The sequence below is a fragment of the Homo sapiens genome, chromosome 8 (assembly GCF_000001405.40).
Source record: "Homo sapiens chromosome 8, GRCh38.p14 Primary Assembly".
In the NCBI taxonomy this organism is placed as follows: Eukaryota; Metazoa; Chordata; class Mammalia; order Primates; family Hominidae; genus Homo; species Homo sapiens.
The window spans coordinates 128,588,775-128,615,245 of NC_000008.11; the positions used below are offsets into that span (position 1 = coordinate 128,588,775).

The 26,471-nt window shown below is 38.7% G+C and overlaps 1 annotated feature.

The window, feature by feature from the left end:
* Nucleotides 23,300-24,120: an enhancer, noted in NCBI's record as "OCT4-NANOG-H3K27ac hESC enhancer chr8:129624320-129625140 (GRCh37/hg19 assembly coordinates)". NCBI's record gives its function as "activates a minimal SCP1, AML or CMV promoter by ChIP-STARR-seq in naive H9 embryonic stem cells {active_cell/tissue: H9 hESC(naive)}" and the evidence as "EXISTENCE:reporter gene assay evidence [ECO:0000049][PMID:30033119]".

A 26,471-nucleotide genomic window follows, 5' to 3' on the forward strand; every position in this document is an offset into this window, starting at 1 on the left:
ATAAACTTTTTAAAGCAGCAGTCACTTGGTTGTCAGGCAAAAAAAATTCAAACGAGAAAGAAAATTACCATACAGGATGATTTGTCTGAGTGCTTTGTTTCCCCGTCATATTATGTCAGGGATCAAAGGATAGCATTTTTCCCTCTTCAAATTGAAAATAGCTTTGTTTTTACTGCTTTTTTGTTCCTCATATTAAAAAGGAGCTTTTGTGTTTGGCTTTAATATGACTGGATTGTCTCTACATTCATATCCCTCGATACCTGGCTTTTCACCATAAGTCAGCAAGATCAAAATCTTCTCCTAATTACCTTCACTACCTGCTGAAATATCTGCTGCTGGGAACATGTCAGTTGCTCCAACAATTATGCTAGTGGTAACGGCACACATTCTCACGAGGCAGGGTGGTGATACCGGACTTCAAAGGGCCTATGCCAAGTGGTGATGTATATTGCAGTTCAATTAAAGCGTAATTAAAGTGGCATACTACATTCTAACTTCTGCTTGTGTCGAAGATAATCCATTCCAATAGTGCATGCCATCACCTCTACAGCAGATCCTAAGTTACAAGGACAGGAGCATAGCTCTAACTCCTTCAGCATTCACCCACATGAAGATGACATTGCGTGGTCGAGGGGGCAAATTTATTGCAGTTATGTGTAATGAGCTGCTGGTTTGTGCCAGGTGAGGTATCCTTATGAACAATATTTCATCAACTCCTGGTGGCAGGTATTATTTTCCTCATTTTCCAGAGGGGTTAGCTAAAGCTCAGGAAGGTTCTATGATATACACAAAGTCATGAGAACTTTCACTTACTAAGTGTATAACCTTGAGCACATTTTCTAAACTCTGAGATTCAGTGTTCTAATTGAAAAGGGTGAATGCCTTTATCACTGGTCACATACATACACACACACACACATATATACACACACACATAAATATGTATTTATGTACACATATAGATACACACATGCATACATACCCACATCTACATGAGGATATATATACTTGTCTATATCTATGTGTGTGATATATATATACACACACACACAGATATGTGTGCATAGAAAACAAGTTGAGTGATGAACAGAATAGGTACCCAGTAATTGTTTTTAATTGTTGCCATTTTGTTTTTGTTTTCAAAGGCCTCCAAAGCAAGTGATTCATTCAACCTTCCAGTGTTCTCATGCCTTATGACACATTAACCTTCATGAACTTCCTATTCTTTCTGTCAAGGAGCAAATGGTAAAAACACCAACACTTGGTGGGGCCCCAAGGTGACTGAGAAAGACCACATGGAGACTCAAGTCTTCTCATGTCTGTCTCATTCATGCAACAGTAGTCCAAGGGCTGATGGACTTGTTGGATACTTGCAGGTGCAGGGGGTCCTTGGGACAATCTTGGAGAGCTGTTTTTTTCCTGATCTCTCAGTAGTGACCTGTTACAAGGAACTGAGTTGTTTACTGTGGTTAAGAGCACAAAATCAGAAGTTAGAGAAGTATGAGTTTACATGCGTTTATGACAGCATTATTTACAATAGCAAAGTCAGGAGTTAACCTAAGTGTCCATCAACGGTGGATTAGATAAAGAAAATGTGGTACATAAACACTGTGGAATAGGACACAGCCATAATAAAAAATAAAATCATGTCTTTTAAAACAATGCAGATGTAGCTGGAGGCCATTATCCTGAAGTGAATTAATGCAGAAACAGAAAATAAAGTGTCACATGTTCCAACTTATAAGCGGGAACTAAACAATAGATACACATGGATATGAAGATGAGAATAATAGACACTGGGGACTCCAAAAGAGAGAAGGGAGAGAGAAAGGGGGAAAGGGGCTGAAAAACAACTTACTGGGGACTATGTGCCCTATCTAAGTGATGGGTTCGCCAGAAACCCAAATTCAGATGCCTCAAAAACCCATTTAACAAACCTGCATGTGTACCCCCAAATCTAAAATTTAAAAAAAGATAAAAGTATGAGTTTATACTTAGATTCTGTCATTTAGTAGTTGTGTAAATTTAAGCAAGTTACAAGACCTATCTAAGCCTCAGTTTTACCATCCAGAAAACGGGGATGATGATAATAACTTACCTCATAGAGCTGTCAAGGGAATTAAATGAGATAATGCACATAAAGTGCTTGGCACTGTCGTGTTCTTATACTCCAATACATAAACTTATTATTATTATTGTTATTACTCTAGCGTCCTTTCTTACTGTCTCTCCTAATCTCATCTCTTTTTACACATACATACTCTCATCTACTCTGAGGCTCACTCAGATTTTCAAATATTTTTGAAGGTGTTATTATGCAGTGGACTGAGTGAGTGAACACACAGGCTATATGCAAACTACCTCTGGAATTCATTCCACCCCTATCTTTGCATTTCAATCAGATTCACATTTCAAAGGCCCAAGCCATGTCTGACAATTCTCCTGGCAATAGCTACAATGAAAACTTGAACATAGCCTCTAAGCCTTTCTAAAAGCAAGATTTCCCAGTTATCATAATTAACCATATTTCAGAATATACAGAGTGCTATCAGTGAGCAGTATCAAACCTTCAGAATCATCAGCATAAAACTAGGTTGAGTTGCATGGGAGAGAACTCTGAACCTGATTCTATCACTTCCTGTCTAAAAGTGAATCAACCATACCAGAGTGGTGACTGCCCCAGTGTTTGGGTGTAACAATGTGTCAACAACTTCTAGGAATAGAATTTATGTTTCAACTGCAGGGCAAGATTTAGTGAAGTATAAGCTTGAAGTTTTGATATGCAGATTTAAACACAGAGAGCAGAAGACCAGATAATGGAGGATAAAAGAGAAATAAGGAGGAAGAAAGGGAGGAGTGAGAAACAGAGAGACTTAGATGGTTGTCATGCAAATACTTGGTATTGCAAGACTCTTTTCTAAGTATTTGCTATCTGTTAAGAACTTTCATTTTCCCCTGATATCTACTATATCTTTTCAGCAAAGGATATTTTAAAAAATTCCAAATGCTTAATGAATTCTCATAAAAGGTATTAAAATTAAGAAAAAAAGATTCTCAGTTTTTGAAGAATTATAGTAGGTCCTTAGAAACTTAAATAGTTGGCAAGCTTTCAGATATTCCAAATTTACAGTAAAACCCCAGTTTTCTAGAAATAAGTGATTCTGTGGGGTTAAATTTTCCTATAATTTAGTATTCATATGATTGAACGTTTTTTCCACTAATATATCTCTCCTACTTCCTAGCTTTATGAAGCTCTGATGTATACTGTATCACGTACTTTTAATCTTTCCTTGATGCCTGAACATGTTCATCATTATCACCATATAGTGACCAGGGTCAACGTGAGTGTCTGGTGTATTTCTGCCTTACACTAACTGGCCTCAGACTGCTGTGTGGTAGTAATTCTGACGTTTGTTTTTAAAATGGATTTCTGTCCCTTTCTTCTCTGTAAGGTGTTCAGCAATTACACACTGTTTTGGGAAACATGTCTGCCTGTAATAGAGCATTTGGCTCCTGTCTATTATGGCAAAAAAGAAATAAGAAAGAAAATACAATAATTGAGTTTTAATTTATTTAATTTCAAAAACATGGTGAATGTCTACTCCATGCTAGTCATGTGTTAGAAGATGGGGATACAGAAATGAATAAACCCAAGTAGCCTGTGGGCTGATGAAGAAACAGGCATTTAAAAATCAGACACAATACAATGCCATAGAGATTCTTACAATGGTAAGAACCAAGTGCTTTATAGGGATCTCAAACTCTGATTCCCACAGAGATTGACAGGTAAGATGAATGAGACAGGAACATAGGTTGCAAAAGAATATAGGAAACTGTCCTATGGGAGAGGCTACAGTTATGTCAGCTGCTACTTAGTTCCAGTTCATGTTTATCAGACTGATGTCGAGGGTCCAGTGTGGCCAGATCCTCATTGTTTAAATTGTAATTTTCTTATTTTAAAATCACTGGTCAGGCCAGGTGCAGTGGCTCAAGCTTGTAATCCCAGAGTTTTTGGAGGCCAAGGCAGAAGAATTACTTGAGACCAGTCTGGGCAATATAATGATACTCCACCTCTACAAAACATTTTAAAACCTCGCATGGTGGTACCCAAGAGGCTGATGTGGAAGGATCACTTGAGGCCAGGAGTTAAAGGGTACAGTGGACTATTATCACACCACTGCACTGCAGCCTGGGCAACAGAGCATGACCTTGCCTGTAAAACATGAAAATACAAAATACAAATAAAAGCACTAGTTGGACTTGATCAAGGGATGCCCATTTGAGATCCTTGAGTATAATGGGAATAAAATGAAAGATGTTTAATTGTGACTGTAAGGTTACAATTGTTACCTCTGAACTGAGCCTTACAAGGTGAGCGCAAAGAGAAGGAGTGACAGTCTGTAGACTTACACTGTCTAGCATAGAGTATGTCTCCTTCATTTGTGTGTCTGTTTCTCCTCTCCTTTCTCAAGGTCAGGGATTTGGGGCATTCAATACAGACTGCAAGGGCCAAGACCGTTTGCCTCCTGGAAGTTCAAAAATTACTAGCATGAGGCCAATTGATTAACAGGAGGAAAGGCATACAAATTTATTTAACGTATATACATGGCAGTCTTCACAATGAAGACCTAACCTCTCAGTGAGGTACAAACTTATAAAAAATCTTGAGATTACTGGAAAAAAAAAAAAAAAACGAGCGCTTTGATCTTGGTAAAACAGGTTACAGGGGCAGGGGGAAAAGAGAAATTCTGCTAAGGGGTAATAAGTGATTACTAGGGAGAATGACTGGATTGGGAAACAAAAAGTAACTTATAAATAATATTCTTTGGAATTTCAATGTGTATGAGAAAGAGGCATTATCTTGTGAAAGAGTCTGTGCAGGTGTGGTTACATTCTCGGTCTTTTAGGGAAAGAAAGAAAACTATTGCTCTCTTTGGCGGGTCTGGATCTGAGACAGATAAAAGAACCTCAGCTTTTTTGGGAGAGACTATGAAGGTTGTGGGGGGATGGTCTGAGAGACCTTTAGGTTTCTTCAGTTCAGCATGTCCATTTGTCATATTACGGGGTGTCAACTTCTGAACCCCAACAATAGCTATTTTATAGATTTTTAGAACCTCAGAAAAAGGTAATATCATGTCAAATATAATGTGGATACGGGCCGGGCGTGGTGGCTCCTGTCTGTATAATCCCAGCACTTTGGGAGGCTAAGGTGGGAGGATCACTTGAAGTCAGGAGTTTGAGACCAGCCTCGCCAACATGGTGAAACCCCATCTCTACTAAACATACAAAAATTAGCCTGGCGTGGTGGTGTACACCTGTAATCCCAGCTACTTAGGAGGCTGAGGCAGGAGAATTGCTTGAACCCAGGAGGTGGAGGTTGCAGTGAGCCAAGATCGTACCACTGCACTTCAGCCTGGACGACAGAGCGAAACTCTGCCTCAAAAAACAAAAAAACAAATATAATGTGGATATAAACATGTAAGATGTAGTGGGTATAAGTGTTTGACTTTTCTTCCTTCTTCTTTTCACTTATTGAACAAATGATACTGGAGACAGCAAGAAATTATTTCGGCAGATAGCGAAGGCAAACGAGGCCTCGGCAGAACTTCCCTTCTAACAGAAAGCAGCCAAAGTAATCATTTCTTTTCTAACAAAAGGCAGCCTGAAAGATCAAGCTGAAAACATAGGTAAGAAAGCTGGAAGCTTGCGTCGTGGGAGGCCTGCAGCTGCACCAGTAGAAAAGGGCTACCTGAGGGCCAGGCATGTTGATCATGGGGCTCCACCTTCCCTTTTTTGTTAGCAGGTGTACAATGAGAAAAAGGGCAACATGGAGAAGCTCAGGAAGAGAACCCACCTGCATAACAAAAGATTAGGGTGGGGGCTGCAAGTGATTCGCACCCTTTGCAGATGAAACACTTGGTCCGAACCGGGTTTTTGTGCCCTGTGTAAGTCAGACACCACCTCCCCACTAGCTCATCTATAAAACCCCTGCTGCATTTCACCACAGATTGGCAACCCATTTTTCCAAAACCCCTCTCTATAGCAGAGAGCTATTTATTCTCTTTCTTTTGTCTATTTCATTTCCTCTCTTAACCTCACTTTTTGTGTGTCCGCATCCTTGATCTCCACCGTCATGAGACAATGAACCTCAGTGTCACCCCAGACAACAAGACCACTTCACAAATAAGTGTTAAGAGTCTACTATGTGCCAGACACTGTTTTGTGTACTGGCAATATAGCAGTGAACCAAGCAGGCAAAGCCTCCATTCTCATGGCACTTACAGATGAGCTGGGAAAACACAGGCAATAAACAATTAAGTAGACTCACAATGAGCATACATATGAGTGATTTGGGTTTATTCAATGTATATCTACTCATTGTATATATATTGATCTGCTTATTGTCTATATCTTTCCAGCTAAAATGTAAGCATACTGTATATATGTAAGCATATATAGATACCACATATAAATATATACACACATATTGATATATATGTGTGTATATGTATGTGTGTGTATATATGTATATACATACATATATGAAATAATTGCTATGGTATAAAATAAAGCAGAGAAAAAGTTACAGGTTGTGCTAGGCTAGGTGTGAAAAATATTATTCCTAAATATAGGAGGTCAAGGAGGATCTTACTATTTCAATTAGAAGATGACTTTTAACAGAACTGTAAAAGTTGCATGTATTTCCAAGTGAAGGATGGTCCAGATCGAGGGGCCTGCAAATGAGTTGAGAAAATTCTTGGAAGAGCACAGAGGACAATGCAGCTGGAGAAGATGGGCCAAATGGAGAGCAGTAGGAGACAAGCTCAGGGAGTCAGCAGGGGCCAGATCCCCCAGGTCCTCCTGGCCCCTGTAAAATGAGAAGCCCCTGGGAGCTTTGAGTGGAGGAGTGACATAATCTGACTTAAATTTTGAAAGGATCACTCAGTATGTTGTGTAAAGAATAGAATATAAAGAGCAAGGATGAAATCAGGAAAAACAAAAAACTGTTAGGAGGTACTGCAGTTAGCCAGGAGAGCCATGAGAGTCGTGACAGTGGTAAATATTAACAACTGCTCAGGTTCTGGAGATATTCTGAAGGTAAAATAGTTAAGATTTGCTGACAGATTGGATATGGGTTGAGAAGAAAGAGAAATGCAAAGGATAATATCAAGATTTTTTCCTGAGAAATGGAAGGGTGGAATTGCCATGTACTGTGGTGTCAAAGATTATGGCAAAAGCAGATTTGGAAGAGATGAGATTAGGAGGTGATTTTGGCCATGATGAATTTGAGATGCCTACCAAACATCCAAATGGAGGTGTCAAGTAGGCAGGTGTATACGCACATCTGGTGTTTGGAGGAGGGGTCTGAGCTGGAGGTATAAATATAGTAGTTATCAGTGTGTGGATGGTATTTCAACATTTTTATCTAGTAAGATCAATTGAAGAGTAAGTTTAATAAAGAGAAAAGATACAGGGACTGAGTCTTGGGTCACTCTGTTACACGTATTGAAGACAGTAATAAACCAGGAAAGTGAGGTTGAAATAGGAGGACAACCAGGAGACAGTGACTTTCTGAAAGACAAGTGAAGAAAGCATTTTCAAGAAAATGAGGGGATCAACTGTGTCAAATACCATTAAGTAGGTCAAGAAGGAAGCTGAGAATGGTTCTCAGATTTAGTAAATGAAGGTATGTAGTGACCTTGATCAAAGTTGTTTTGGTGAAGACCAGATTGGGAAGAGTTCCAAAGAGAAAGTGAGATAAATTAAAAACAGAGCTTCCTGTAAAGGAGACAACAGAAATGATATAAATGTGAGTTCAGGAGGTGGAAGATATTTTATTTTTCAGCATACTCCTGGATGACAGGAATGAGTCAGTAGAGACGGGATACAAGAGAAAGGAAATACCCTGAAATGACATCCTTGAATAAGGAGAGAAGGCATTTAGGAAACAAGTAGAGGAAATGATCTTGGATCTTGGATTTGCTAAAGGATGATGAAATATGTAAGTTCAGAAACCAGTAGATTGGTATAGATGATGGTGTACGTGAGGAAGTTCTCTTGTAATTGGTTCTATCTTCATTAAAGTCAGAATAGTTATTAGCTGAGAGTGAGGAAGGGGGAATATTGGAGGTAAAGGAAGAGAAGAATTAGACAGTTATTTAAGATATTGGGAAAGTGGATGGATTATGGAAATATTGCTGGATTGTCAGGTGGCTTAATTGCCCATTTGAGATTAGGTCATGTTATGTGAAACAAGTTAATATGCTTGTATATTTTTCACAAGCCATTTCAACTATTCAAAGTACAGGAATAAAATAGAAAAAAATGTTAGATTTAACAACAAATTGAGATTTTGCTAAGTGAGGACAGCCATACATTTTACTGCACTTTCTTTTATTATGCTTCACAGATATTGCATTTTTTACACATTGAAGGTTTGTGCCTGCATCAAGCAAGTCTACTGACACCATTTTTTTTTTCAACAGCATATCCCCACTTTGTATCTTTGTCACATTTTGATAATTATTGCAAGTTTTCAATTTTTAAGTTATTATTATATCTGTTATGGTGATCTGTGATCAGTGATCTTTGATGTTACTATTGTAATTATTTTGGGGAACAATAAACTGCACCCATATAAGACGGTGAACTTAATTGATAAATGTTGTATGTTTTATGACCACTTCAACCACTGGCCATTCCCCTCCTTCTCTCTCCTCAGGCCTTCCTATTCCCTGAGATCCAACAATATTGGAACAAGAATAATTAATAACCCTGCAATGGCCTATAAATGTTCAAGTAAAAGGAAGAGTCGTATACCTCACACTTTAAATCAAAAGCTAGAAATGATTATGCTTTGTGAGGAAGGCATGTCAAAAGCCTAGATTTGATAAAAGCTGTATATATTTGTCCATTCTCACGCTGCTAATAAAGACATACTTGAGACTGGGTAATTTATAAAGGAAAGAGATTTAACTGACTCATAGTTCCACAGGGCTTGGGAGGCCTCACAAAACTTAGTCATGGTGGAAAGGGAAGCAAATACATCCTTCTCCACGTGGCAACAGCAAGGAGAAGCGCTGAGCAAAAGGGGGAAAGCCCCTTATAAAACCATCAGATCTCGTGAAAACTCACTCACTATCACAAGAACAGCATGAAAGGAACCACCTCCATAATTAAATTACCTCCCACTGGGTCCCTCCCATGACACATGGAGATTATGGAACCTACAATTCAACATGAGGTTTGGGTGGGGAGACAGCCAAACCATATCACTAGGTCTCTTGTGCCATACAATTAGCCAAGTTGTGAATGCAAAGGAAAACTTCTTGAAGAAAGTTAAAAGTGCGACTCCAGTAAACACAGAGATGATAGAAAAAAGAAGTGAAACATTTTTACTGCGGATACAGAGAATGTTTTAGTAGTCTGGATAGAAGAACAAATCAGACATACCGTTTCCTTAAGCCAAAACCTAATCCAGAGCAAGGCCCTAACTCTCTTCAATACTCTGAATGCTGAGAGAGGTGAGATAGTTGAAAACTAGCAGAAGTTGGCTCATAAGGTTTAAGGAAAAAAGTTGTCTCCATAACAGAAAAGTGCAAGATAAAGCAGTAAGTATTGATATAGAATCTGCGGCAAATTATTCAGATGATCTAAATAAGATCACTGATGAAGGCCACTACAGTACACAACAGATTTTCTATGTAGACAAAACAGCTTTCTGTTGGAAGAAGATGCCGTCAGGGACTTTGACAGCTTCAAAGGAGAAGTTGATGCTTGGCTTCAAAGTTTCAAAGCACAGGCTGAGTCTCTTGCTAGGGCCTAATGGAGCTGATGACTTTAAGTTGTAGCCAGTGCTCATTTTCCATTCTGAAAATCCTAGAGTTCTTAAGAATCTACTTTGCCTGTTCTCCATACATGGAGCAACAAAGCCTGGATGACAGCTCATATGTTCACAGCATGGTTTCCTGAATAAATGTACATTATTGACTCATAATACTCATAACAGACTCATTGTTGTGACCTACTGTTTGGAAAGATTTTTTTCAAAATATTATTGCTCATTGACAATGCACCTAGTCACCCAAGAGCTGTAAGGGAGATGTACAGGGAAATTAATGTTGTTTTCATGCCCATAAATCAAGCAGTAGTTTTTGGCTTTCATATCTTATTATTTAAGACATATATTTCATAAGGTTATAGCTGTCATAAATTGCAATTCTTCTGATGGATCTGGGCAAAGTAAATTGAAAACCTTTGGAAAAGGATTCACCATTCTAGATGCCATTAGTAACAATTGTGATTTAGGGAAGAAGGTCAAAGTGTCAACCTTAACAGAAGTTTTGACAAGTTGATTCCAGCTCTCCTGGATGACTTTTAGAGGTTCAAGACATCAGTGGAGCAAGTCACTGCAGATGTGGTAAAAACAGCGCAAGAATTAGAATGAGAAGTGGAGCCTGAAGATGGGACTGAACTGCTTCATCTCATAATAAACCTCGAACTTATAAAAAATTGTTTCTTATGGATGAGCCAAGAAAGTGGTTTCTTGAGATAGAATCTACCCCTGGTAAAGATGCTGTGAACACTGTTGAAATGACAACCAAAGATTTAGAATATGGTTTCTGCTTAGCCAGTTGAGCAGTGGCAAGATTTGAGAGAACCGACTCCAATTTTCAAAGAAGTTCTACTATGAGTAAAATGCTATCAAATAGCATCACATGCTATAGAGAAATCTTTGTTAAAGGAAAAGTCAATTGATGTGACAAATTTCATTGTTGTCTTACTTTAAAAAGTTGCCACAGCCACCTTAACCTTTAGCAACCACAAGTTTTATCAGTCATCAGCCATCAACATCGAGGCAAGATATTCCCCCCAGCAACTTACTGAAGGCTCAGATGATCATTAACAGTTTTTAGCAATAACATTTTTAAAATTAAGATATATATTAGACATAATGCTATTGCAAACTTAGTAGACTACAGTGTAGTGTGAACATAACTTTTATATACACTAGGAAAAGAAAATGTGTGTGACTCACTTTATTGAGATATTTGATTTATTGCAGTGGTCTGGAACTGAACCTACAATACCTCCAAGATATGTCTGTATAAGGAGAAAGGGGCAAAGGATTTGAGAGTTTAATGAGCATGATCTCAATAATGGGCTGTGGAATATAAGCTTTCCTCCTTCCTCCTGCAAATGTTTAATGATAGCCTGTGAAACATCATGAGAATTTTGGGGCTAGAGAAATGAACAGACATGGTTCTTGCTCTGAGAAAAGAAATTATATTATAGTCCATTATTTCCCAAACTGTAGTCATTCAAATGTCCCATCATATTTTTGTTATATCTTTGTGCTCCCTGTATTATCATATAGTGTTTTTTAAAATTATGTACACTTTTAAGTCTTAATAAACTTATTTGAAAAGACATTATTTTTGGTCTCAATGAAAAGCCAGTCTCATTTGCCACAAATAGAAGGTAATTGTTAAACCCAATACAATTAAAACAGTATATATAACTAAATTCAACCCAGCTACTTTATTTGCTGAAGGCTCCAAGCCTAGATTTGCTGTCTGTTTGATAAAAAAGGAGATTATTAAATACGAAAGAGTTGTTAAGGACATACTAGCACAAAACTTAGCCCTTCTCCAGTCATTAGAAGGACTCAAGGGAAGGCAAAGGAGAATGTTTTCCACTTATCCTTAACTGTTATGAAGTGCACCATATAGTACAACGTAAAAGCAACTCTCATCTCTTTAGCGATGCACATCCCGTGTTTAAAGAAATACATATTCAGTAGGAAGACAGCCATACAAACAAGTACAATATACGTGGCAACGATGAGAAACAGATTCTAGCTACAGCATAGATTGTGAAGAGCCTTGAAGACCATAATAAATCAGCTCATCTTTCATTAAAAAAATTAAGTTTAGAAATCAAGAGATGACTTGAGGATGAGTGTTCAGGGAATTGTGTTATTGTTGAGTTAGAAACTAAATCTGCAAGAGTCAGACTCCATAGAAAGTATGCCACATGGTGATGGATTATCCATTCAGCTGCACCACAGATGGCCATAGAAGGCTCCACCACCAGAATGGGGTTAGTATCATTCTCTTACACTGAGGCTTGTTTGGGACATGAACTTCACCTGCTCTTTTTTTTTAAAAACATTAACTTTCCATTCTGTGCTAGAGAAAAGTAATGTGAAGGCAGAGATGCCAGTTAAGAGAGGAAGTTACCCAGGTTGGAACCTATAAAGCCTAAAATAAGTTAGTAGAAGTTGGAATGGGAAGATAGAGTTGGAGATAAAAAGCATTTGACTGTAGTATCTGTAGGGCTTAGTGATAGATGATGGATTAGGGCAAATACGTGAAAGGAGGAATGATCCTAAGATGATAAAGTAGTTTGCTGATATTTAAGAGTATGTGGAATGTGAATTACAATTTAAGAGACTTGTGTTGTCAAACTTCGTGAACTATTTTAGCTGGAAAGAGGCTTTTCTGGCTTATTTTCTGCTTCTTACCCTTGAAGCTGCAGACAAACGAAATTGCCAAATATAAAACTTTCTTATTTATAAGGCGTGTCTGAACTATGAATTAAATATTAGAACATAAATAAAATTACTTTTTATTTAAATTTTAGATTTCTAATAAAGGCTTAGCCTGAAATTTGGCATGAGAAGGCTCCATTAAGTGGTAAACCCCATGAAGACTGCAATAATATCTGTTGTTCAATAAATAGCTATTTAATAAATGAAAATATTCTAAATCTTGCTATGTCAGTTTTTTACTTGATCAAATTGTTTTATTTGTTTCATTAAAAGTATTCATTGTGAACTACTTTCTGCCAGGCAACATGCTTTATAATCAAACAAAAACATTGTCAGTTTTCACAGATCCTTCTAGAGGATGAGATAAAGTATAATAAAACAACCACACAAATAATTTTTAAATAGCAAATGTAATTGCATGCTACTAAGGCAGCTATGAGTTGTTAGGAGAACATGAATACATTCATTTACTAATTCAATAGTTATTGGTTGAACCCTAATGTGTAATAGGCACTAGCGATATATATATAAGGTTAGTGCAAAAATAACTGCAGTGTTTGCAATATAAAATAATGGCCAAAATCGCAATTACTTTTGCACCAATCTAATACACACACACACACTCACACACACACACACACACACACACACACACATATATATATATGTTAGCTCATGCAAAGGTGATATATTAGCTTTTGGTAAATAGGAAAAGGGATAGGAGTGCAAAGGAGGTCATGATTTTAGACAAAGTAGCCTGGAAAGGAAGAATTCAGTGGGAAGGTAACTTTAAGTAGGTGAAAAAAGCCATCTATTTAGGCTTTCTCTCTCCTGCATCTCAATGCATAACACTTTAAGAAACCAGGGTTGTTGCGATGATCAAATGAGATAACATAAGAGAAACCATCTAAACTAGGACCTGGAGTCAGTTCCCAACTGAATGAATCTATTCCCTGGATTCAGAAGAGGTGCTGAAATGTGGTCCTCATATGCCTACATATTCTCTTCCTTGTTCCACCCAACTTCTAAAACAAATAAATCAGCCTCCCCAACTCATTCTTAATGTGATAAGTTGTATTTGCTTGGAACTACTACTTTTGTACCTAGGCTTGCTCCTGTTCATTCAACTCTTTTACCTCTGCAGTGCTGCAGAAGCCAGACTTGCAATATACTCTTGTTTTTTCTATGCATTGCTTGAGGCCTATAGAAAGGTAAGACAAATAACATTCAGTGGCAGTTCTAGGTCAGAATGCAAAACACCCTGGACAAATTTCCTTGTGTGGGTTACAGTGTCTGTAGCTAGTCGTAGCAGATTGGATAGCGCTCAGTTTGTGGGGCAACTTTGGTAAGATGCATACCCTTTTTAAACCTGTCTTCTCAGCCGCAAAACAAGAAGAAAGCTAACCTTTTCTGACCCCTTCAAAACATAAAGAGAGGGAAATAAGTTAATGTTTGGAAAGGCCTGTGTGACCCTTGAAGCCAAGACATTATCAAAGTACAAAGTAAATTACAAGAACTGTTTGCTATCCCATTAGTAACTCAAATAGTACAAGGGGCTCCACCTGTCAAATCCTAGTTAGGCTTGTAGTGCACACTTGCTTTGCTCATGAGGATAAAAATGGAAATAAAAGAGTTGGAAACTCTCATTGGGCTCATTTTTAGAAAGTTTTGCAGTAGAAATCCTTATAGGCACAGACAGGTTCTCTTTCATAGGTGCATTTAGCCCCAGTCCCTTCACTGAGCCTTGGAGCCTGGAAATAAGGTAAGGATTGGAGCTTGGAACCCAGAGACAAGATGTGAGGACTTTTGTGACTGTAGTCTAGTTTCTTAGAATCACCGGTTCTCTATCTCTGGACGTGTAAAATGAGAATCATCATCACCAACATCATAATTACTTTTTGGTTATGATGTCTCTTTAACATAATTAAATAGCTAAAATATATGGACTGTTAACTCTTACCATGTTAATCACTCTATTATACTATCTCCTTAAATCCCCACAAAACTTTATGAGATGTGGCTTATTATTATCCTTAATTTTCACACAAAAAAATGAGGCAGTGAAAGGTTGAATAAATTACCCCCATTAACAGCTCTCAAAAGCAGGGAGCATGAGATTCCTTTCCCCACAAATCTGCTGAGCTGACTGAAAAATGAAGCCCTACCTCTCTGAGTTCCATTTGCCTTTATATACACTAGAACTGGCATGGAGTGGTCAGTACTCCCCAGTGTTATCCATCTGTGGAGCAGAAATGCTTTTTGATTTGTAAAGCATTATTAAAATGATCCTATTCAGATTAATAGTCACATATCCACAGGACAAATGTGTCCATCAAACCTTCCTGCAGGACAGCAAGCACTGAGGTATTTGTTGCATCTGCCTGTCTAGCACTGGATGGATGCAAAAATAAATTCATTCTAGCTAAGATGAGAAGAGTGAGGGCTGGTGCATGGCTGTACTGAGTCAATACTTCAATTTCCCAAAGGTGTATTTAGTCTCTTTTCAACCTGTTTTCCTACAGTGTTAAACCAAATTGTAACTATTAGAATCTGCAATTTATTCCCTAGTATAATCGCATACTTATAAGGGATAGATATTTGGGATGGGGGTGTGAGAGAGGGAGGGCTGGCAAAAAGCAAATAGAAGTACAAAACATTTGGCTCCTGATAGAACATTTTTAGCAGCCTTCAAACGTCTTTTATACACTAAGCTTCATTCAGATGAGAATTGGATCTCACCCCAAATTAGACAGCAATGTTGTGAATTAGGTGGAATGGAGAGCTAATATTTCTTCCATTCCTAGTTGCTTGGAAGAAAAGACAAAATTTGACTGCATGTTTATGAGGCAGAGAGAGAGGCCAGTATTTGAGGACTGATATTTAAATGAACAACTTGATTTTTGCCAAACTTTGATATTTAATCTTTTGGGGATAGGAGAGAAAAGGGAAAAAAATGTTGACTCATCTAGTATTTGCTAATGTCTCAAAGGACTGTGGTGGGTAGGAACAGGACAAGAGGACTGACAAAGTGGGAACTAACCATCCAGATCATTAGAAGTCGTAGATACACTAAGGATCCTGTTGGTCTTTTAATTCCAATGCATCTTCTGCAACGATATTCAAACTATGCCTAGGGTAAAGAAAGTGGATTCTAAAACAACCAAAGTAACATTCAGTTCATTGCAGAAACCTCTCAAATATATAAAATTGGGTATCACAAGATTGAAAGCGACAAAGAGATGTCTTTTTTTTTTCATATCAAGAGGTGATTAAACACCATTGTTAAGTGATCTCCCAGCCTCAAAACTTAGACATTCTACTTTTACCTTTCACAAAGTGGTATCATATGAGCATTAAGCTCACACCAATTCAGCAACACTCAATCTCAACCAGGACAAAACAATAAATTGTTCAGGTTATTTCTCCCATCACTCTACTAATTTCTACTTCAGCAATGTGCTGAATAGGGTGTCAAGTGCAGAAAGAGGGACATATCATTTTCTGGAATTATAAAAAAGTAAAAACCTCCAGGGATGTTGAACCTACTCTCCTGGAAGGATATATGTCAGTCTACAAAGTGGCCTTGCACACTTTTGTAATCCATTTTCAAGATAATTTTAATTGTACATTAAAAGAAATATCCCACACTGACTTTAGAACTTTGTCCTTCAGGAAGATACAATCCTACCATACTGCAATCAAACTGATATTCCAAAACATGACAGACCATGTATCACCCTAAACAATGCTTTCACATTCAATCATTCCACAAATATTTAATAGGCACCTACTATTTTGTTACAGGTATTGGAAATACAGTGTTACACAAAACAGAAAATATTTCTTCTGGTGAGCTTTTATCCCAGCAGAGAAAAGCAGAAGGTAAACAAATAAACACATACTAAGCAAGATGATCCCAGGTAATAGAAAACATTAAGGAGAAAACAAAACAGAGTGATGGAGAAATTGGTTAGTCAATTTAAGATGGAGCTGCAGGAAGCATTCCTTCTAAGAAGGGAATATTTATGCCAAGACATGATTGGCAATTGGTGGGAAGGAGTCAGCACAAGAGCCTCTGGGATGGGGGAATCAGAGACATAAATTACTGCAAAGTCCTTGAGACAGGAAGGAACTTGGCTTATTTGGGCAGCAGACAGAATATCAGCAAAGCTGTATCTTCAGAAACATTAGCTACTAGTAAGCTCTTTTTCAGCATAAAAAACACTACTTGATCTGATACCACGTGACTTTCCAATTTCACCACTCCACACTCTTTCTCTTTCACTCTCTCTAGTTTTGCTGAACTATTCGGAGACTTCTCATGTATGTACCAGGCTGTTCATGTCTCCACTTATCAGTACACACTGTTATCCCTGCCTGAAATGTGCTTTTCTATTTTGTAACCTAGTGAATCCCACTCACTTTTGAAGATAAATCTTCCCTTTCATTCCTGTAGAATCACAGAGAGAAAATGATTAACTGCCCAAATTATCCAAATTTCTATCACCATCAAAGGGCTTTGCTGCTTCTTTTAGAGCCTATATTCTAATTGAGTATTCCTTTTTAATGCTCTTCTTTGACTTATCATAGAATTTAGCATAACTTTTTAGGTTGTAGACTCCAGAAAAAGCACACCTTTCTTATATCTAACACAAAAATATACGTCAGCAGTCAGTACATTAATCAATTATTTCCCCTTCCCTTCCCTTCCTTCCTTCCTTCTTTCCTTCCCTCCTTTCTTCCTTCTTCTCCTTTAGTTCATTTAACTAAATTTCTAATTCATTTAACTAAACTTAGGTATAATATTTGCTGCTTCCCTTCTCCTCATCCCTTGCAGCCATGTTATTAGGCTCTGACTTGACAACACATGCTTCATCTACTCACCTTCACAAAGTCATGTTGTTACCATCCTCTCTCTTCATTAAATATGATCCTGGTGGTCTTGTGTTCTTTCTTCCCTTCCTATGCACCAAAGGCCTTTACTTTGTTAACCTCTAAAAGGGACTATTCCAGATCAGTCTGCTTCATGCAGCAACCCTCTCTGCGCTTTCTGTCATGTCACCACTTATTTCCTTCACAAGACTTATCAAAATATTTTGTTTTCTAGTTTATAGTTCACCTTTTACTTTAACATAAATTCATTGAGGACTGAAACCTTGGATGCTTTGTACATCATTGTATCCTAGTACTCAGCACAGCATTTGGCACATAGCAGATGTTCAGTATGTACCAAATGAGTAAGTGAGTGAATGAATAAATGAACACGTACTTGAACACATGTATCATGCCAAGCTCTGTGTTAGGTAATGGAAATTTTTTTTTTTCAAAACCATGTTCAAATATATATATATATTTATTTAAATTTAATTTTTTAAAATTATTACTTCTTTTTTGATAGAGACTGGGGTCTCACTATGTTGCCCAGTCAGGCCTTAAATTCTTGGCCTCAAGTGATCCTCCCATCTTGGCTTCCCAAAGTGCTGGGATTACAGGTTTGAGACACTGTGCTCCACCGATTTTTTGAAAAATTAAATCATGGCCTTTGCCTTTGAGTCCCTTTTTCCTTCCTTGTAAGTCTAGCCTTTCTTTCTTCTGTTCTCACACTTAAGAAAAATATTGATTAGTACATGGAGTTAGAACCTCATGATAATGCCCTAGAAGAAAGATCATCGGTTTCATTTGGATTAAAAAAAAAAGTTAACTATGTCCTTAAAAGAGTCTCTAACCTTCGGTAGTCATTTTGTATTCTCTTGAATTTGATAATAAGATGGTGTGAATAGGTTAGATCAAGTATATCCCCTAATTAGCACTCATCACAGGGTACTGTGGTTAATGATTTATATACCTTCCTTACCAGACTCTGAGATATTCAGTGGAAAGCACTGCATCTTGTTTATTTTTGTTTCCAGTCTTCATTTAGTATCACAATAGGCATACTAATTTTTTTCTAAGACAACAACCTAGGCATAAACTTAATTGTTTTTCAGAGCATGTATAAAGCTTTAGAGATTATGTTAGCTATCTTCTAACTTTTCAGATTTGAAAAATGATGGGAAGCATTGTGTTCAAAATAAATGACAAAGATAAAACTGTGACTTGGGTCTACGATTCCATGACTTGAGTACTTCTTCGTTGTTCAAAGTCACATCTTTATCTGAGAGGAAAAAAAAAAACCACCACTCTTGGGAATCATGCTGCTTAATGGAAACTTTGCTCTCTTGGGACAAGGCAGCAAACAATAAATTAAAAATAAATGCTGAGCTGGCAGGAAGATGATGTTTTATCCAAAGATTGCACAGGCATATGCCCATAGGACAGCAAAGAAATTCTGTATTCTCTGAGTTCATGATTAGCAACAAAGAGCTGTAAATTGTCACTAAATTCACCTGTTAGGTGATGCTGGAGAAAAACATTCCCTTCTGAAGACTGCTTTACTTTCAGTCACAATAAAGAATTAGACCTGAGAGCAACTTGGAGGCACACAACAGCCACTCTTTTTGCATCCTTACATCCATAGGATTAACAATTTTCAAATAATTAGCATGATGGTTAATTTTGTGTTTAGTTGACTAGGCTACAGAGTGCCCAGATAGCTAGCTAGACATTGTTTCTCGATGTGTCTGTGAGGATGTTCCTGGAAGAAATCACCATTTGAATCCATAGCCTGAGTAAAGAAAATTGCTCTTCCCGATGTGCATGGGCATCATCCAATCTATTGCAGGTCGAATAGAACAAAAGGCAGAGAAAGGGAAACTTCTTTCTCTTTGCCCAACTGAGCAAAGTGAGACATTGGACTTCTCCTGCCCTCTGATCAAGACTTGCGTCAGCTGCACTCTTTGTTCTCAGGCTTTCAGACTTGAACTAGAACTTACCCCATCAGTTTTCCTGGTTCTCAAGAGTGAGTTGTGGACTCCAGAAAAAGATAAATTTTTCTCTTGCCTAACACGAGACATAAGGGTTTCTTGTGTCAACCCTTAATAAATTAATCAATCATTTCTCCTTCCTTCTTTGAAAAGAAACATACCACCAGCTTTCTGAGATCACCAGCTTGCAAAGGGCGCATTGTGGGGGCTTCTCATCCTCCATAATCATGCAAGCCAATTCCTTATAATCTCATTCTCTCTTTCAATACAGTCAGCCCTCCACATATGCAGGTTTTGCATCTGTGGATTTAACCAACTACGATCAAAATCAGTGATTATGGTGGGCCAATAGTACTTATTTATAATCCATGATTGGTTGAATCACAGAATCCTATGAAGGGCCAATTGTGCTATGCTAATTTAGATAAGGGACTTGAGCATCCTGTAATTTTGTTTTTTGTGGGATGTCCTGCAACCAGTTCCCCATGGGTTCAGCGTGCTGAACATATTTATCTCTCTCTCTCTCTATCCATTTATCTATCTATCTATCTATCTATCTCCTATTAGTTCTGTTTTTCTGGAGAACATTGACTAATACATAGCATTTTAAGTTCTTGAATAGTTAGTAAGCCTTATAGGTGACAGATGTTAACTATGTTAACTGGAACACTCAATTTACTGGAATAATTCTATGTTCCAGATTCTTGATAAAATCCTCATTTAATTTCCTTGATTTTCTTAATACATTGGGGAGCAAAGATAATAAGGGAATCCATGAACAGTCAGGATATCAACATTTATTGAGCACTTTTGTTGGAGGTGACAGCTTTCCAAAAACAGTTCAATAGCCATAGTTGTCCTCATTGTTTATGTAGCATCTAATCAGTTTCTTACCCAAACTTTAATGTCAGTTCCCTCTTGGTCTTATTAGATTACTTTAGTGTTTCATCTGTCAGATTTCATCTATATCTAAATAGCCCATATTCTTGACCTTTTATCATCTGCTCTGCTAATGTACTCCTGGGCTATGCATGAAGCCCTTTTGATGGTTTAACTATGTTTTGCAAACAAAGGCCAGACAGCTGGTCTAGGGAGAACTCCCATCTGGCCTAGGCAATTCTTTCTTCTCAAAAACCATTGTGTTAACCCAAACAATGTGAAGTGGAGTCAAAATTTACACATAAACAAAATGTAAAAAATAAAAATTTTTAAAAAGCCACTTGATTTTGAAAAACATTCTCTCTTGTTCTAGGCCCCCATTCCTGCTGATGACAAAAGAAGCTGGGAATTGGTCCTTAACTTTCCATTCTCTTCCAGTTTAAGGCAGTCTCTTTTCTTTTATCTTGCCTTACTTTTACTTGTACAAATAATCTGTAGATTTAAAGTTCAAATTTCCTATTAAGGATATTTGTTTCTTCTGTTAAGAAATCTCTCCTCTTTGCTTTCTATCCAGACTGGTATCTGAGCAGAGGAAGAAGCTTCTATACTTTGGTGCTGCCCTTTGTTTGGGATGCCTTTTCTCCTTAGTATTTGGACAGGGATTCCTCTGAGGAATTATTTATTACTGAGGTAAAGTTACTTTGGCACAGGTGATGCTCTGTTACCTCTTCTGGATAGCTAGTTTCCACAGGAATTCACCCTGGCTCTAGCTGCACATCTCATTTACTCCCGAAATTGGGAACACTATTATGCATCCTCAAAGGCTTTGCCCCTCCCATTCACAAATTCAGTCTCCAGCACTCCCTGCCCACAGTCTTCTAAATCTCCTGAGGTACTCAGGAATTTCCTGCTCACAAAAGGTAGGAAAGTAGAAGTGTACTCTTAGCATCCTTGCTCTGACCAAAGTTTTCATGCTACTGTCATAGTTGGCTTTACTCACTCCATGTTAGAAGACAGTTTCACCTCAACCGGAAATGAAACAAGTGCTCCAATTGCCTTTGGCTCCCCATATGACCCATCTGTGGTTTCTATCTCCAGGGTACCCCCCAAATTCACCCCATGGTTGAGATCTGTAAAAGGTGGTAGAAACTGCAAATCCCTGCAAAACCAAAGTAGGGTTCCTTCTCTACCTTTAATTCCTTCAAAATCTTTCCAACCACTATTTCATCCTTGAAGTAGAAAAGTTCTCTATCTCCTTTTGAAATAGGGAGAAGCATTCTTGGCCATATGTGGAGTTCTCTGTATCCATAGCTCATAATAATACTCCATATTCAAACCTTCAAGATTTTCTCTTACTATACAAGGAGAGATTTTTGAATTTAGAAATCCCCTTTTCTCTCTCACACACACACATGAAATTCTTCTTGTAAGACTTGTGACTTCCTTTGGGCTTTGCCTCCTATTTTGGAAGATAAAAGTTGAATATTGATTATTTTTCCTTTCTTTTCTCTAATCCTAATCTTTCTGGAAACAAATGGATGCTTTCACTTGTACAGAGAGGAAGGAAACATCAGGAGGAGAAAACTTCCAACAATATTTTAAAATATTATGTTACAATGGTAAAAATCCTTTATAAGCTCCCCAAAGGAAGAGTGAACGGTATACATTTTGTAATTTATCCATTTCATTTGGCCATATCAATTATACCACAAAGCCTTTACCGTGATGAATTTTCTCTATAAATTTGAACTGAATGCAATTCAAATCAGTTCAATATAGTTGCAATCAACAGATATTACTGAGTACCTGTTAATGTGCCAGGCACTGTGCTAAGTTGTAGGAATACTGATTAAGGAGGTACCTTTATCGTCTTTGAGGAGTGCATATCCCATGAAAAAACCAGGCTTATAAGTAAATAAATTAAAGTAAATTTAAAAATCAATGTAATTATTTCAAAGACTATGGGAATAGCCATAAGAGAAATCTTTGACAATCTGTAAGAAAATATACTATTGTGATTCAGAGAATGGAAAATCTAAGGGACTTGAGGATAACTCATGAAATGAGGTGATGTCTTAGTTGGATTATAAAGGATGACTCATTAAATGGGGAGCCATTCCAGGCAGAGGGATTATACGTGAAAAAGGACCAATGCATACCTTGGATAAAGAGACATTTGACTTCACTCACTATATGTACTCACAGAAGCCAAACATTTTTAATGCACTGATTAAATATTGTGTGCTGACAATCTAAAGGGCACAAAACCCAGTCTTCTTTGAGAACACCCAGTCTGGGCATAAGAAAAGGGAGACACACTAAGTTAATAATTAAAATTAAGGTAACCAGAGGGTGTATGGGACATAAAGGAAGAGAGTCTGGGTTGTGTACTGCACTGCACTTTCTAGATAGACTGCAAGAATGTTCACACCTTTTCTGGATGGCTGGTCATACTACTTAGAAGGCTGTTTGGGATAAAATGACCTTATTAGGAGGGAGTGGTACTTAAGAGAGAAGATTTTAGACAGAGACACTTAAAAAGATTTAGTAGCACAATTGGAGTGGGGAGGGAGTTGACACAGCCCCCATCTGGCCAGCTTTTCTGATATCCTGATTTGTATAAGCAATCATTTCTCCTTATCATTTAGGGATGTGCTGGATGAAATTTTTCTTTAAGAGCAAAGACAACTCAGAAAGATGAATGTGTGTTGCTGAGCTAATCAACACACAGAATTAATCAACCTGAGGGAGAAGAATCATTTATGGACCTCTCATTTATTAGGAAGCCACTAATTTGGCTTCTGTGATCACTTAGATTTTTATATCTTCTTTCATGCGCATCCGTGTGAAGAGACCACCAAACAGGCTTTGTGTGAGCAACATGGCTATTTATTTCACCTGGGTGCAGGAGGGCTGAGTCCGAAAAGAGAGTCAGTGAAGGGAAATAGGGATGGGGCCATTTTATAGGATTTGGGTAGGTAAAGGAAAATTACGGTCAAAGGGGGTTTGTTCTCTGGCGGGCAGGAGTGGGGGTCGCAAGGTGCTTAGTGGGGGTGTTTTCTGGGCCAGGATGAGCCAGGAAAAGGACTTTCACAAGGTAATGTCATCACTTAAGGCAAGGACCGGCCATTTACACTTCTTTTGTGGTGGAATGTCATCAGTTAAGGTGGGACAGGGCATATTCACTTCTTTTGTGATTATTCAGTTACTTCAGGCCATCTGGGCGTTTACGTGCAAGTCACAGGGGATGGGATGGCTTGGTTTGGGCTCAGAGGCCTGACATTCCTGACTTCTTATATTAATAAGAAAAATAAAACAAAATAGTGTTGAAGTGTTGGGGCGGCGAAAATTTTTGGGGGGTGGTATGGAGAGAGAATGGGCCATGTTTCTCAGGCCTGCTTCAAGTGGGATTAGGGGCGGCGTGGGAACCTAGAGTGGGAGACATTAAGCTGAAGGGAGGTCTTGTGGTAAGGGGTGATATTGTGGGGATGTTAGAAGAAATATTTGTCGTATAGAATGATTGGTGATGGCCTGGATATAGTTTTGTATGAATTGAAAAACTAAATGGAATAACAGAAGGAGAAAAACAGGTGTAAAAGGTCTAAGAATTGGGACGACTCAGGATATCTGATTAGAGAGTGCCTAAGGAGATTCAGCATAGTCCTACCAGCAAAGATTATTTATTTACTTCAAGAGTTAAGAGTGGCAGTTTGGGGATAGCACCAGGAGATATCAGCTGTGATGGCTTGGAAAAACAGTGTAAACCGGCAGTGTAAACAAGAGCAGGGCATGTATGAGGAGTTAGGAATGGTGAATAGGAGTATGACTAGACAGAAGATAGTAGGGATGACAAGTTTTTTGGAGCACAGTCTAAGTTGGTCTGGTGTCTGGAATGAGACTGGGGCCTAATAAAAAGGAGCGTCTATACAGGAGCTTAAATGGGCTGTACCCTGTAGCATTCTGAGGACAGGCCTGAATTCTGAGAAGGGGAAGTGGTAAAAGTATTGTCCAGTCCTTTTTAAGTTGGTGGCTGAGCTTGGTGAGGTGTATTTTAAGACCTTTAGTCCATTCTACTTTTCTTGAAGACGGAGGACCGTAAGGGCTATAAAGGTTTCACTGAAGAGTGAGAGCCTGAAAAACTGCTTGGCTGATTTGACTAATAAAGGCTCATCTGTTATCACACTGTATTGAGGTGGGAAGGCTAAACTGAGGAATTATGTCTGACAGAAGGGAAGAAATGACTGTGGTGGCCTTCTCAGACCCTGTAGGAAAGGCCTCTACCTATCCAGTGAAAGTATCTACCTAGACTAAGAGGTATTTTAGTTATCTGACTCAGGGCATGTTGAGTAAAGCTAATTTGCCAGTCCTGGGTGGGGCAAATCCTCAAGCTTGATGTGTAGGGAAGGGAGGGGGCCTGAATAATCCCTGAGGAGTAGTAGAATAGCAGATGGAACACTGAGAAGTTATTTCCTTGAGGATAGATTTCCACGATGGAAAGGAAATGAGAAGTTCTAAGAGGCAGGATAGTGGCTTGTACTATAGCATAGCCTGCCTTTGCTGGTGTGTGGCGATTAGGCCTGGTGGAACCGCCATCAATAAATCAAGCGTGATCAGGGTGAGGAACAGGAAAGAAGGAAATTTGGGGAAATGGGGTGAATGTCAGGTGGATCAGAAAGATACAGTTATGGGGGTCAGGTGTGGTATCAGGAATAATATGGGAGGCCGGATTGAAGTCTGGCCCGGGAACAACGGTAATTGTGGGAGACTCAACAAAGAGTGAGTACAGCTGAAGGAGCCGGGAAGCAAAAAGTATATGGGTCAGCTATGAGGAAGAAAATAGATTTTGGAAGTTATGAGAACCGTACAGAGTGAGTTGAACATAGTTTCTGATTTTGAGGGCCTCTAAAAGTATTAAAGCAGCGGTAGCCGCTGCACGCAGACATGAGGGCTAGGCTAAAACAGTAAGGTCAAGTTGTTTGGACAGAAAGGCTACAGGGTGTGGTCCTGGCTCTTGTGTAAGAATTCTGACCGCGCTAACCATGCCTAGGAAGGAAAGGAGTTGTTGTTTTGTAGAAGGTGCTGGGGTTTGAGAGATCAGTCAGACAGGCTTGGCAGGGAGAGCACGTGTGTTTTTATGAGAATTATGCCGAGATAGGTAACAGATGAGGAAGAAATTTGGGCTTGATTGAAGGAATGGGGGCTGTCTGTGAAGCTTTGCGGCAGTACAGCCTAGGTAATTTGCTGAGCTTGATGGGTGTCAGGGTCAGTCCAAGTGAATGCGAAGAGAGGCTGGGATGAAGGGTGCAAAGGAATAGTAAAGAAAGCTTGTTTGAGATCTAGAACAGAATAATGGGTTGTAGAGGCAGGTATTGAGGATAGAAGAGTATATGGGTTTGGCACCATGGGGTGGATAGGCAAAACAATTTGGTTGATAAGGCGCAGATCCTGAACTAACTTGTAAGGCTTGTCTGGTTTTAGGACAGGTAAAATGGGGGAATGGTAAGGAGAGTTTATAGGCTTTAAAAGGCCATGCTGTAGCAGGCGAGTGATAGCAGGCATTAATCCTTTCAAAGCTTGCTGTGGGATGGGATATTGGCGTTGAGCTGGGTAAGGGTGATTAGGTTTTAATGAGATGGTAAGGGGTGTGTGATTGGTCGCCAAGGAGGGAGTAGAGGTATCTTATACTTGTGGGTTAAGGTGGGGGAATACAAGAGGAGGACGCAAAGGAGGCTTTGGATTGGGAAGAAGGGCATCAATGAGACGTGGCTATAGTCTAGGAATAGTCAGGGAAGCAGATAATTTGGTTAAAATATCTCAGCCTAATAAGGGAACTGGGCAGGTGGAGATAACTAAAAAAGAGTGCATAAAAGAGTGTTGTCTAAGTTGGCACTAGAGTTGGGGAGTTTTAAGAGGTTTAGAAGCCTGGCCGTCAATACCCATAGCAGTTATGGAGGCAAGGGAAACAGGCCCTTGAAAAGAAGGTAATGTGGAGTGGGTAGCCTCCGTATTGATTAAGAAGGGGATGGACTTACCCTCCACCATGAGAGTTACCTAAAGCTCGGCGTCCGTGATGGTCTACGGGGCTTCCGAGGCGATCAGGCAGCGTCAGTCTTCAGCCGGTAAGCCAAGAAGGAGTCAATCAGAGATCCTTGGGCCAGAGTTCCAGGGGCTCTGGG